Raw genomic sequence first — 14,161 nt, 5'->3', positions numbered from 1 at the left:
TTTTTTTTTGTATTTTTAGTAGAGACAGGGTTTCGCCATGTTGGCCAGGCTGGTCTCGAACCCCTGACCTCAGGTGATCCACCTGCCTCAGCCTCCCAAAGTGCTGGGATTACAAGCATGAGCCACTGTGCCAGGCCTGCCCTACCTATTTTACAGGGTTATTATGAGGGCTAAATGAAATATTGCTTTCAGAGTATAATTTCAGTTTCTCATCTGCAAAACATCTATTTGACTTCAAAAGGTGGCTGTGAGGATCAAAGGAGATCCCTCACTTTATGTTTGCTAGCTTTCTTTGGACTTTTCCCACAACATAACAGTCCTCTCTAAAAAGTTTAGAACTTAATACCCTCTGACATACAAAGACTGGAAGAACCCGGAATGATAACTTCAAACTTGTTTTATGAGAATACAAACTAAGCAACTGTTCTATCTGCCACAGAGGTTCCAATCTTGGTTCTATTAGCTGTATCACTTTGGGCAAATAGTTTGAATCTTACAGATCTCCAGTTCGTCATTTGCAAATAACGGATCTGGATCAGGTGACTGCCACAGGTCCCCTTCTGCCTTTGGATCCTCTGATGCAAACATGATTAGTGCTCTAGCTTAGTGTTCCCCAAACTGCAGTCTCTCACATACCACCTTCATGACTTTCCTTATCTGCCTACAACCTGTACTACTGTTTACTTATTATTTTTCCTCATATCAATTATTTTTGCTCAGCTTTGTCCTTACTATATTTCCGTGAAATAACAGGCTTGATACCATAATTACATCTTTTCCAATGTACACTATAATACATAACTTAAAAATTGGGCATCTATATGCCATCTAAAATCATCTCATACATATACACCAGTTATGTCTTCTACCACTCTAGTTCATTTTGAAACAGCAAATTCATAATGAAGATTCCAAGTCTAAAATGTGGATCGTGTATATCAACTCAGTAAGCTACTAAGTTGTTAAAAAAAAAAAACAAAAAAACCCACAACAAACAGGAAGCCTACAACTTTTCACCTGTCAGTGTTCATCTATTTTACAACTAATCACCAAGATAATGCAATCCTCCAAAAAAATCACAAAGCTTCACACATAAAGAAACATATCGATAACCACTGTGAGTTAATTTTTAAATTGTGAGCCCTCCACATGGGCCTAAATATGCCAAGGGGCCCCTCAGGGGGTAGCCAGGGAAAAGACTAAGAAGGAGAGGCTCTAAGGCAGGGGTCCCCAACCCCGGGGCCGCACAGCAGGAGGTGAGCTGTCAGCAAGCAGCTGCTCCCCATCGTGGGCATTACCGCCTGAGCTCTACCTCCTGTCAGATCAACAGCCACATTAGATTCTTATAGGAGTGCAAACCCTACTGTGAACCGAGCATGAGAGGGACCTAGGTTGTGCACACCTTATGAAAGCCTAATGCCTGATGATCTGTCATTGTTTCCCATCACCCCCAGGTGGGACTGTGTAGTTGCAGGAGCACAAGCTACATTATGACCAGTTGTATAATTATTTCATTATATATTACAATGTAATAACAACAGAAATAAAGTACACAATAAATGTAATGCATTTGAATCATCCCAAAACCACCCCCCTCACCACGCCCCCAACCCGGGTCCATGGAAAAACTGTCTTCTACAAAAATGGTTCCTGGTGACATAAGGTTGGGGACCACTGCTCTAAGGCTTTGACCCCACTTCACCCAAAGCAGCTCTACCTTCTGCTCCATACGTTTAGGCTTCAACATAGTACTTCTCAACGCAGGATTCTGATGTTGAACTAAACCATATGCAAATCAGATTCATTCTGCTTTCTTACTGCAAAGTTCAAAACTAAAATAAAAACAGGATTCCTATGAAATATATGCTACAAGAAACTAATGATCACAGTTGAACCTACAAAGAGGAATTAGCTGCAGTTTTTACCAGTAAGTGTTGGATACTCTTAGAAAACGGTTCTCCAAGAAAATCAAAATAACAAGAAAGAGGAAACCTTACCTCATGTGCACAAGCAGAAATGTGAGGAAAATCAGAAGCCAACGCTTTATTCTTTCTAAAGAAAAGGAAACCAAATGATAAAATAAAGATGACAAAGAAAAATGATCTTACCTGATTTCGTTCTCTTTTCCCAGCTGATGGTAACCAGAAACTAAAGAGAGGGAGAGAATAACAGGAAAGAAAACAATAAAAGAAGTGATAGGAAAATTACAGAAGGGAGAAGAAGATAAGATGTTGGAATAATTAAGTAAAGACAAAGAAGGGAATAGAGAAAAGATGTAATCAGAGGAGGAGAAAGAGATTAAATGTATGTGAATGTTTTGCAAAAACAAAAACAAAAAAAAACCTCTTCAAAGGAAAAAGGCTTGTAATGGAATGTAAAAGACTGAACAACAGAAATAAACCCAAGATTACACTGTGACACCAATGATCTCTCAGCTGTGCAGTGACAAGAGTCTCAACTCATGAAGGGCATAAACCACACCCACATCTTTATTTTCTATGTAAAATTAGCCCGAGTTGGATGTGTATAGGATCATAACTGGGTACTGACCATGATGCATACAAGATATATGAAAGAACCAACCATTTTAGGGGACAAGGCTGTCACAAGAATTGGCAGAATTATTTTCCTGTAGCTACATACAGGCTTCCTACAGCACTCACCACAGTAATTAGAACAAAAAGATATTTCACAGGTTGGGCGCAGCGGCTCACACCTGTAATCCCAACACTTTAGGAGGCCAAGGTGTGCAAATCGCTTGAGCCCAGGAGTTCAAGACCAGCCTGAACAACATGGCTAAACTCTGTCTCTACAAAAAATACAAAAATTAGACAGGCGCAGCAGCATGCGCCTGTAGTCCCAACTACTCAAGAGGCCAAAGTGGGAGGATTGCTTGAGCCTAGGAGGCAGAGGTTGCAGTGAGCCATGACTCTGCCACTGCACTCCAGCCTGGGCGTCAGAGCCAGACCCTGTCTCAAAAAAACAGATATTTCCCTATGAAAAGGTCTAAAAATGGGAAGAGAATATAGGAGGATAGAGGCAATCATCCATTTTGGAAAAAAAAAAATTTAGGGACAGAAAAATTAGTTTAAAATAAACATCTTTACTGGAGGCTACTAATGCAGCATCTGTAGGTATAAAAAAACAATACAGTGAAACTAGTCTAGAAAGGAAAAGAAAATCACTGCCACAGGTTTAGGATGTTGCCATATTTAACTGTTACAACGTACAAATCTTTAAGATCTCTTTGAACTCTGAAGCCTGATTTCTAAGTTGCTCCATAAAACTCCCCTCTGCCTCCTCCTCCAAGGAGCAGACTAGCACAGCCAGTAAATACATAAGCACTTACTCTTTCTGCCGAGGGTCACTAATGATATGGCTTATCCTCTCAGTCCCCAAAGTGTTTATGCTGGTCTCCTAAAAAGAAAAGGCAGACAAGAGTATCATCCAACCACAGAAACAAACATATAAAGTACAATATCAATCTTTCCCATAACTGTGCCAGCTAAGGCAACCTCAAAAGGCACATGTTAAAAGTCAATCTTAAAATAAAACAGCAACTATACTTCTTTTTATTGGAATCCATCTTAAAAGTATTACATGTTACCCTACATTTATTATTCTCCAGTGATCCAAAAGTCTTTATAAATACATCATAGACACTGTTCACCATATATGGTATTTTAATAAGTACTATACCTCCTGTAACTACTGAAGTATATAGGAGTAAAAATCCTTTTTTAGAAAATTCAACAGTAGCCAATTTTTAACAGGCCAACACACCAAGCTTCCTAGAGAGCTACGTGATTTGATTATAGTTCCAACAGCCTTCATCCTGGGACATTACCAAATCCTCACTGGTAAAATGTAAATATCTGCTGACTAAATATAAATACATCAAGAGAATTTTGTGACTTGCAAAAATTGTTACTCTGTACTTTGTCCCTCAAACATCATCTCATGAAATAAAAATAGAAATTTGTATAAAATTGATTCCTAAATTCAGGGTTCTCAAGATTATAGTGTAAAAGCTTACCCATAACACCACAAAGAGTTCAGAAACGAACCATTTCCAAAAAATTGGAAAACGGCAATTCACTCTTCATTTAACTTGAGTACATTCACAATGCTTACCTACCATGGCACCTGGGAAAGCATACCAACACACATCTGAGTAACTGTTGTGTTGAGAGAACACAAGTCACGGGCGTGAATGCCAAGAACATCAAGGCTGTTCTTCAAACACATTTGTGTCTATATTCATCTATGTGTGTGGACCGTGCTAAACATCAGGCTACACATTTCAGCAGAACTGGCTGTAGAAAAATTACTCTGAGGTCAGAGTCCGGGCGGTAGTGGAGTTAAATGAGAAGTTTTCATATACTATATTCTTCATGTTCTGCATTTCTTATAGCTATGCCTCCTGGTCACAGACAGACATGGTAGGGGGGCCAAGGGAAAAGATGGGTGAAAAATGAGCTATTTGTTACAGCAGAAAAATTATTAACTTAAAGTGCCGTAATGTTTAAATTTACAGTTTATTACTGTGTAAATTACAAGCAGTACTTTGTGTAATTAGCAGCTCACTGGCAGGGAGCTGTGAATGAAACTCATTATTTATGATTACAATTTAGAAAAGCAGAAGAGAGATGGGGGAGGGGGAAGAAGGGGGGCAGAGCGGTGACCTCTTCTAGAAATGATAAATATCCCTTTAAGGTGATGAAGATGAATTAAACAAGTAAATATTATCCTATTCATTTGAAATCATTAAAGGCACATCCAACAGGCCCTCACTCCCTTCCAGGCAAGCTAAAGGGAAACCTTCAAGATAAAGTGACTTGTTTCCATGGAAGTGGATGGCTCTTATTTTATAAGAGCTGAAAGAAAGTAACACAGGTGGCAGGGGGAACATTATCTGTCAAGCCTAAACAATAAAAGTAAAACCTCTCCTTCTTCCACCCCATGTACTGCTATTCTGCTAGCTATCCCTGTTAACAATAAGCTCCCAAAACAGAAAAAGCAGCGTTTTGTCTGTAAAATGAGTAATTTGAAAGGTATCAGTTTTCCAATAATCAAATGTCTTCTAATTCAAGATTTGAACTTGAGGCCGGGCACGGTGGCTCATGCCTGTAATCCCAGAACTTTGGGAGGCCGAGGCGGGTGGATCACCTGAGGTCAGGGGTTTGAGACCAGCCTAGCCAACATGGTAAAACCCCATCTGTACTAAAAATACAAAAAAATTAGCCAGGCATGGTGGGGCGCCTGTAATCCCAGCTACTTGGGAGGCTGAGGCAGGAGAATTGCTTGAACCTGGAAGGCAGGAAGTTACAGTGAGCCGAGATCGCACCATTGCATTCCAGCCTAGGTCACAGAGCGAGATTCCATCTCAAAAAAAAAAAAAAGATTTGAACTTGAATTTAAAGATAAAAAGAAATAAGAATCTTGGGCTCGTCTGGAAATAAACAGTCTCATTTCTTTTGCATGCTTAAAACTTCAGAAAACTGTTCCCTGGTCAGACTATAAAACAGTATCCCCTTAAGGGAAGCCAGACTGTGGCACATATTGTGCCACCTAGCAGGCATTCTAAATGCTTACCAAGTGAACAAACAAATTAATGCTCTCAATGCCTCTCCCTTCCTTATTCTTTGCCCACCACCATCTTCTCTGACTGAGGATGAGCCCTGTCTTAATTTATTCCTCAATCTCAAAGTAGAGTAAAAAATAAAATTCAATAAAAATGTAAAAAGATAAAAGTAGACCTGGGTTCAAATCTCTATTCTACCATTCCTATCTGGGTAACATCAGACATTCCTTAACTTCTTCGAACCTAAGTTTTCCTCATCTGCTGAAGGTGCTTGCCCTTGTAGGTTGCTGGAAGGATTAAATGAGCTGAGTCCCTAGTACCATCCCTGGCAAAGGCAGAACTGAATAAACAGCAGATAGTTCTCCCTCATGGCCAAGGAGGGGCTCTTGAAACTCAGTAACAGTTTTGTTTTTTTTTTTTAATGAATTCTAGGATGAAAGACCAAAATTAGGAAAGAACAAAGATGCATTCATGAATTCAAGAGGAGTCATAAAGAAGCCAAGAGTATTTTAACTTACACAATAATAACATAACATTAATCAAAAGTTACAGAAGACACAGCTCAGGCTTGTAGGTTTACAGGCAATAGACACTGTAATGACAGTGTTTTTTTTTTTTGTCAGTACTTCTATATGAATTACGTTTCATCTTTTATTTGTATATCCATTCACATTCTACATAATGTTCACTCTTGTAAACTCCCAACACATTCCAGTTGGCTCCATTAACTTCAGGGAGTTCTGTAGCACCTCTGATTGTTAATAGGATACACAACTCCCATAGGGAATATTATCTCCCCACTGAGCCAAGCTAACTGTGAGAGGTATCACCTTCCCAACCAGCCTTCTTCGCCCCTTTCTGAGGCATCGAGCTGCAGCTCCAGGTAGACGATTCAAGCGAGTATGGTACCCTAAAAAAAGAAGGAAGGCCTCAGATACCGAATGCAGAAAATCCATATGCAATCCTATGTTTCTAGTACACTGAAGGCTTTACCCCCAGGATCTTAATAGATTGACCTTTAAACTAGCATCACAGAGCTATTTGCCAAGGATTTATTATTCCCAGGTCTTTGTCACTAGCAGTATGATCACAGGCATGCCATTTACCTTTGACCTAGGCATCCTCCATCTATAAAAGAGGGATAATCACTCAGTCCTACCTTACTGGGCTGTTTTGAAGACCCAATGAAATAGCAAGCAGAAGGGACTTTATAAACTGAAAACACCACACAAACATAAGGTACTATTAATAATTTTTAATTTAAAATTAAATGTTAGTTTGTACGTCAAAAACATTCTAATTCATGACATAATGGGGAAAATAGCACGTGTCGGATAACCCAATTTTTCTCACTGCTGCATGTGTTCTACACAAGGAAAGAACAACTGGAGGAAACCACACCAAAATGTTATTAATGAGATTGTCTCTGGATATGAGATTATAGGCCATTTTAAGTTTCTTCTCACTATTCTTGCTTGTTTGTATATATTTTAAGTGGTCCATTAGAAACTTTTAGAAATGTTCATCAAAATGTTCAATAAAGCAATGTGTGCCTCAGCTAGTCTTTACCAAGCACCAACTGCTGGTTCGCCATGACAAAAATTCACCATGACAAACAAAAATTCACCATGACAAAATCCTACATAATACAAGTTTACATCTCGTAGTGTGATTCTGATCACCCACAGATGTTCAACAAACTCTTGGCAACTGATTAACTGGTTGATTATGGGTTACTGGGAACCCTAGAATCATAAATTTATAGTGCTAAAAGAAATGGTTTTGTCCAATGTCACATATCGTAAGTGATGACCCTGTCATCCCAGGAAAATGCAGTGACTATCACAGAGCTTGGTAGACAGTATCAGAGTATTAGCACCACATTTCCATCTCTCTGTCCTAGGTTCTTTCCACCCACTTTGCTACATCATAATTGAAGAAAAAGCAAAGGGAAAAGGAAACATATTTGTGTTAAAGTCCCAATAGGGTCATTAAAATAAAACTACTTAAATTATTTTAAAAGCATCCGTTTTAAAAACACCATTATATGTGAATACTCTTACTGAAAATAAGAATATGTATGTGAATGTTCTTATTGAAATCTGTTCTCTTCCAAAATCCGATACTCAATAACCTCTTAGTTTCACATCAGGATAAGCAGCTGTCACTAAATCTGGCACAAACGGCAATGGCAAGCTGAAGGAATCTCCTGATAATATATATGTCCCAGGAGTTTCCATGGATTAGTTTAGGAAGGAATGGAGAGAACCTTAAGCTTTGAGACTTACTTTGACTCCTCTAGAAAATCCTTGAGCTAGCTCCAAAATTCAGATAGTTAATGTGTGATTGAAGGCATGAGTATGCTTGCTAGGGGGTGATTGCTCTGCCCAAGGAGAACCATAAAAGCATTAAGTTCTTGGTCTCCTCAGAACTCACCTCTTTGAGCTGGCCGAGAAGGTAAAAGGAATGTGGAATCTGAAAATTTATCCAATCCAGAATCCATTCTTTCTACTTCAGAACAATGATCAGGAGCCCACTTGGGCAGAAGATTAGGGACAGTGAATCCTGGGACACATTCTCCTTCATAGAACCAATCACTCTGTTCGTCATCACCTAAAGTAAAGACATCATATCATAAGCTAGAATTTTAAACAAGGTCTGAGAAAAACAAATGGGAGGGATGATTTCTTAGTGCCATAGTTTTGATCATCCTTTTTTTTTTTTTTCCTTTTTGAGACAGAGTCTTGCTCTGTCACCCAGGCTGGAATGCAGTGGCGTAATCACATGTTCAGGCAATCCTCCCATCTCAGCCTCCCAAGTGGCTGGAACCACAGGCTCATGCCACTATGCCTGGCTATTTTTTTATTTTTTTGGGGATGGATTCTTGTTCTGTTGCCTAGGCTGGAGTGCAGTGGCGTGATCTTGGTTCACTGTAACCTCCGCCTCCCCTCCCGGGTTCAAGCAATTCTCTCTGACTCAGCCTCCTGAGTAGCTGGCATTACAAGCGCCCGCCACCATGCCTGGCTAATTTTTGTATTTTTTTAGTAGAGACGGGGTTTTGCCATGTTGGCCACGCTGGTCTTGGACTCCTGACCTCAACTGATCCACCCGCCTCGGCCTCCCAAAGTGCTGGGATTACAGGCGTGAGCCACCGCGCCCAGTCTTTTTTTTTTTTTTTAATTCTCTGTAGAAACTGGGTCTCCTTATGTTGCCCAGGCTGCTCTTGAACTCCTGGGCTCAAGCAATCCTCCCACCCACCTCAGCCTCTCAAAGTGCTGGAATTACAGGCTGATTATACTTTTAAATAAATCAAGGCATTGTTCTGGTCCTTCTTGATTCATTTTACAATGAAAACTGGAACACCAACCTGGTTTCACATAAATGTCATACTGTGTTAGACTGGACCGCTTTAATAGCTAAAAATAAATAAATAAAGCTACCACTCACTAAACCCTTACAACCTACCAGGATCCATGCTAAAAATCTGTAAATATGTCATCTCTTCCAAGCCCTACACTAACTCCAACTTACAAACAAGGCAACTAAAGCCTAGAGAAGTCAAGGTCAATTTAGTAAACAATGAAGCCAGGATCTGAACCCAAAGCCTGACTAACTCAAAAGCCTGAGATCTTTATTACAAAAACAAACTGCCTCCCCTATACCATTCTCAGTGGTATAAACTTGGAGGTTCAAAACCCATAAATGTTTCTCAATTCAAAGCTAGCTATACCTGAGGGATTTCTTGCTATATTTGCCTTTATCATAAAAGGTGAATAAAGAATATATGTCCATACTTCATTTATCGTTGGTATCTCATTAATGGGACAGAAATCATCTTGACACTAGAAATCCAAGCTACTGCGGAAAAAAAAAATAACCACAGCAACAAATAACATAATCCCCTAAGGCTTTTCAATAAGTTATACCATTTTCCCAAGGCCATTTGTTAATTAACAGCAAAGTCACAACCAGATCCATATATCCAGACTGTTGGTAGTACAAACTTCTTTCTACTGGCTATAGTGATAGTATCTCAGTTTCCACTAGAGTTTATTCCTGCCAACAAAGAATAGATAATTGTATGTCTGCCACCACATACCCCTTGCAAAATAGCAAAATTGAAGGAAATTATTACAAGAATATCTAAAGAGTTCATAATGTAGTCAGTCTCTAATGTACACTGGATTCCAGACAAGTTGCTCAGAAATGTCAATCCCATGAAGTATGAGATTCATGGGTCATTAACACGCAGGATAATAACTCTTAAATCACTGTGGAGATCTCCAAAATGGGCAATGAAAACTGCATTCTGGTGAAAAGCAGGAGATATTACAACTAAGAAAGTTACTCAAAGTGTTCCCTTATAAAAACACACCACAAACAGCTGTCTCTCTTACAGTAGTTCTCAACTTTGAGCATGCATCTGAAGCAGCAGGAGGGCTTGTTAAAACATGGACTGCTGAGCCCTTACTCCAGAGTTTCTGATTCTAGTCTGGGCAAGACCAAAAATGTGTATTTCTAACAAGTTCCCTCATGATGCCAAGCTGGCCTGGGGACCACGTTTTGAGAACCGCTACTCTAAAAGCATCTCACGAAACCAGATACATAGATGAACTGAATACAGGCATTAGTGTATAATAACTAGTTTCTCTGTACTTCAATATATTAATTCTTTTCTTATTCATAAGCATTCCTTAGGCCATTTATTGAAATAGTATATTTAATTAGGCCATGTTTTCTGACGACAAATGGCAAACTATAATGGAATTTTTTTGGTTCTCAAGCAGTCATTCAAGATTTTTAATAATACAAAAAGGGACTCCCTGAACTAGAAGGAACGTTGTGAGACCACATAGACCAGCAGTCTTCAATCAGGGTTCACTAAGATGCCTGATAGAGGAGCTCCTTAAAAGAGCGCTGCCAGGGAATAAGCAAGAAGCTAGGTGGATCGGGCTCCTGACCTCTGGCTCCTCTAGAATTTTGCTTTAAACCAAATAGGCTTAGTTGTTTTACAATCTGAGAATCTATGTTCGATTTTGTTTGGGGGAAAAAAAGGAGAGTTTTCCCCTTAATTGGATTATAAATAATTATTTATTAAACATTTACTATATGCCAGGAACATGCTAGGTACTGTGGTTGCACATAATAAGTCCTGCCTTGAAAAGCCTCAAGGGAAAAGACTCGTACCTACAAACAATAACATAATCTAGTGAGTAGTAAAAGAAACAGTAAGTATAATACAAGGAGCCACAGAGAACAAAGGAGAAAGGGCTATTGGCCAGAACCCCCTCAGCAAACACATGGCACATTTAAATGGGGTCATTGCAGAGATGTAATGAAGTGACTATTCACAAAGGTGGAGACAGTACTAACAAGGAACCCCACAAGGGGATAGTGAAGCACATCAGGTGGAGCCAGCACAGCAGGAGGCCCTTACCATTCCTAGACTTGGAGTGGCAAGGGAAAGAATGGTTATCAGAACCCAAAGAACTGTGGTTATAAAAGAAGGCTGCCAAACAAGAGTGGTGGCCCTCAGCAGAGGAACACAACCACTGCCAACCAGCAATCCAACAGAAAAGGTGTCAGGGAAAGCAATAATCTAATGTGGTAGACTGCATTAGCATTTCCAAGTACTCTCTATAGCAGAATCATCCATCCATGACGTTTGCTCTTTGCCATTGGATTCCACAGTACCTTCCCTTTTAGGAAGAGCACACTTACTCATCCTACTGACTCTGGGCTTGGTCATATGACTTGCTTTACGTAGTAGAAAATTAACAGATATGATTCAAGCAAAGGCTTTAAATATGTACTTGTGGTCTAGCCTGGTCACCTGGCATTTACATCCTCTGCCATAGGAAGTCCATGCCGCCTATCATCATTGCTCCTCCACCCTAGGTCCCAAAATACAATACACTGAGTAGATGTAAACCTAACTTGAAGCCTGTAGACCAGTGGAGCCCAGGCAAGATCAGTGGAACCACAGACAACTCACAGCCCCATAGCAAGAAATGAGTATGGTAAACTGTGAGAAGCCACTAAAATTTGGGGGCTGTTAAGCAGCATTACCACAATAAATACTTGACTAATATATCCAATATCACTCACCTCCCTCCCTTTGGTCTTCTGTTGATGCCTCCTATAGGCCAACCCCAACAAGAAATTGAAACCAAGAAGACCCACTGATATAGTTCATAAATATGCCCTTGCAGGGGCAAGAGGAAAACTGTGTCTTGGTAGATGACCAGTCATTCAAGGAAGATGAGGATGAGATTTCAGGCAGAAAGACCAGCATAAACAAAGGCAGAGAAGCAAGAAATCCCATAGCTTTACGTTGAGAACGCTAAGCATCAATGTCACCAGAATGTGTGAAGCTGAAGCAGAGAAAGAGAGGAAAGCTAGGTGTACAGAACATTCTATAATCTCTCGTGATAAACTAAGGAATCCTTATCAGTGAAAAGGCTTTCCAAAGGCCCGAAAATCTAATCTGCTGTAACAGGTCCACACTTTCTTCCATCTCTATACTTATGCATCATAGCCTTTAAGAGGTGCATTTTGATATTCTTAGCACTGTAGAAAAGCAAAGAAAAAGAGCAAATATTGGTAACTCTGAATAGTATATATAACTCATTCATGGAAACTCATCAGACTTTCCTGGTATAATAAAATCAAAACTCTAGTTACAGCCTACCTGTACACACACACACATAATCTCTAATGACACCTAATTCCCTCAGAATCTAAAAGATAGAAATGTACTCACAACAACCTCCATTACAGTAGGAAGCTCAACAACTCCAGGAGGATAAACTGCCTCTATGCCTACAACTTCGAGGCATGAACAAGATGCTGGCCCCACAGTCCTTCTCCAAAAATCAGGACTTGGATGCTAAGTCTCACAGCCCCAGTATCTCTTCAGTTACTGGGGAGCCTACTTGGATCAACCTAGACATGTAGCCACTACGTCTGTCCTTTAATTGCTTAACCCGTGGAGAAAAATTATTGGACTTCGGAGTGAGAAGAGACTTTAGAAATCCCTAAATCCCTTATTTAGATTAAGAAAACCACAGTCCAAAAAGGCTACATAAAATTTTTATTGGCATGTGGCCCCACACAAGTCTAGAGGACAAACATTTTCTAAAATACCCTTATATATAGGCAAAGTTTTAAATTAGTGTTTAGGTAGTAAAAATAAAGAACTGGTAATTAACTATACCAGCCTTATTCACAGGACTCTATACTCCAGTTTTACTTTGAGGAAGATGATGTTTTATATAATATATTCACCTAGGACACTATAATCATTTATAAATAAGGCTACAAAAGTGACAAGATTTTCTCTATATGAAAATAATGTCTTAACACCTAAAAAAAGACAGTAACACATGAACCTATTTCTTTATTCTAATAAAAAGAAACTTCCCAATGTCCCAGGCTCAACACTCTGACCACCTAGACCAATGATTCCCAAGTCTGATCTACTGGCATAAGAATCACTTCAGGTGCTTGTGAAAAATGCAGATTCCAGGGGCCAACTCTAGACCTATTTGATTTCTAGGAGCTCAGGACTGTGCAGTTTTAACAGTTCCCTAGGTGACTCTCATATGCCTTAAAGTTTGAGAACCACTGCCATAGACAGTCACCATATTCTCCATGAGTCACTCCTATGATTATTCAAATATTTCCATAAACACGGAACCAAGGTCCCAAAGCTGGGATCGACATTACCTTGTCGCCCTTCATCATTGGTAAAGAGCCCAGTGTCACTGCTGCTACACACACTGCTGGTTTCACTGTAAAAAGAGTAAAACACAAGAGAACTCATCAGCTCCAGTCAAAAACAAAGCACTGTACACTTATTTTGGTTTTCAAGCTTCCCTAATTTCACTCCAACCTGTTAGTCAATCAGATATGTAAATTTCATCAGGAAGCTACAAAGTTTTATTTTCCTCCCCAAACAAAAGAAATATAAGAGGAGAATTCTAAAATTTTCACTTATATTTTAAAGTACTAAAAAAATCTAAAGTCACTTTGTTAGTTTAGGACTAGAAAGCTATTAAAGCTCAAAGACGTAATCTCAACCTAGTTTGGTATATTCAACAACACAAATTTACAAATTTACCAAACAATTTTATTCTCAAATATTGCCAACTATCAGTTTCAAATGAAGCTATGTAATTTTAAGACATCTAGCATCTTTCAAGTTTTCCCCCATCTACAAAGAAGTAAACAAAAATCCATGAACAAGAAAAAAATATGACAAAACTTATGTTTTCTGAATTTACTGTCCTCCTTCATATCGAGCAGATACACAAAACTCATTCTGAAAAAAGGAACTAAAGTTAAAAACAAAAATATAAAAACAAACTTAATTTGAACTCATTGAAATATAACTTTTGTCCCACGAAATTCTGCCCAGTTTCATTTTCTGAGCTATTGCTCACAGTTGATTTTGTTTCTTCTCATGGTGTGCTTCTAAATTTGATTTATCTGGTTCAAGAAAAACTTCTCAATCCTCTACAGTATTAGCTATTTCTTTGATTGGGATTATTTCCTTCCAAGAGAGTCAAAAATTTT

General features: G+C 39.2%; 1 protein-coding gene across 22 annotated transcripts in view; it reads right to left on the bottom strand.

Annotated features, from left to right (window-relative positions):
• Positions 1-14,161, bottom strand: part of GPATCH2L (G-patch domain containing 2 like) — an 83,634-nt gene that overhangs the window by 55,516 nt on the left and 13,957 nt on the right. For 11 of the 22 annotated variants that reach the window (XR_007064030.1, XR_001750415.2, XM_047431559.1 and 8 more), the window contains 5 exons: positions 13,313-13,377; positions 8,021-8,197; positions 6,415-6,494; positions 3,350-3,417; positions 1,998-2,052 (listed from right to left, as the gene is read on the bottom strand). Coding sequence is in view for 17 of the 22 variants with exons in the window: in XM_047431559.1 (XP_047287515.1) it covers positions 1,998-2,052; positions 3,350-3,417; positions 6,415-6,494; positions 8,021-8,197; positions 13,313-13,377 (445 nt within the window). In the remaining 5 variants the exon portion in view is untranslated. Of the gene's footprint in view, positions 1-17; positions 2,149-3,349; positions 3,418-4,519; positions 8,198-8,841; positions 13,378-14,161 lie in introns of those variants that run through there. The other 11 variants (XR_007064029.1, XM_017021428.2, XM_047431558.1 and 8 more) reach the window with 7 other exon arrangements.

The sequence above is a fragment of the Homo sapiens genome, chromosome 14, assembly GCF_000001405.40.
Source record: "Homo sapiens chromosome 14, GRCh38.p14 Primary Assembly".
Classification (NCBI taxonomy): domain Eukaryota; kingdom Metazoa; phylum Chordata; class Mammalia; order Primates; family Hominidae; genus Homo; species Homo sapiens.
Note: the sequence above shows the minus strand (reverse complement) of the source record. Positions and strands in the feature narration are given on the sequence as shown.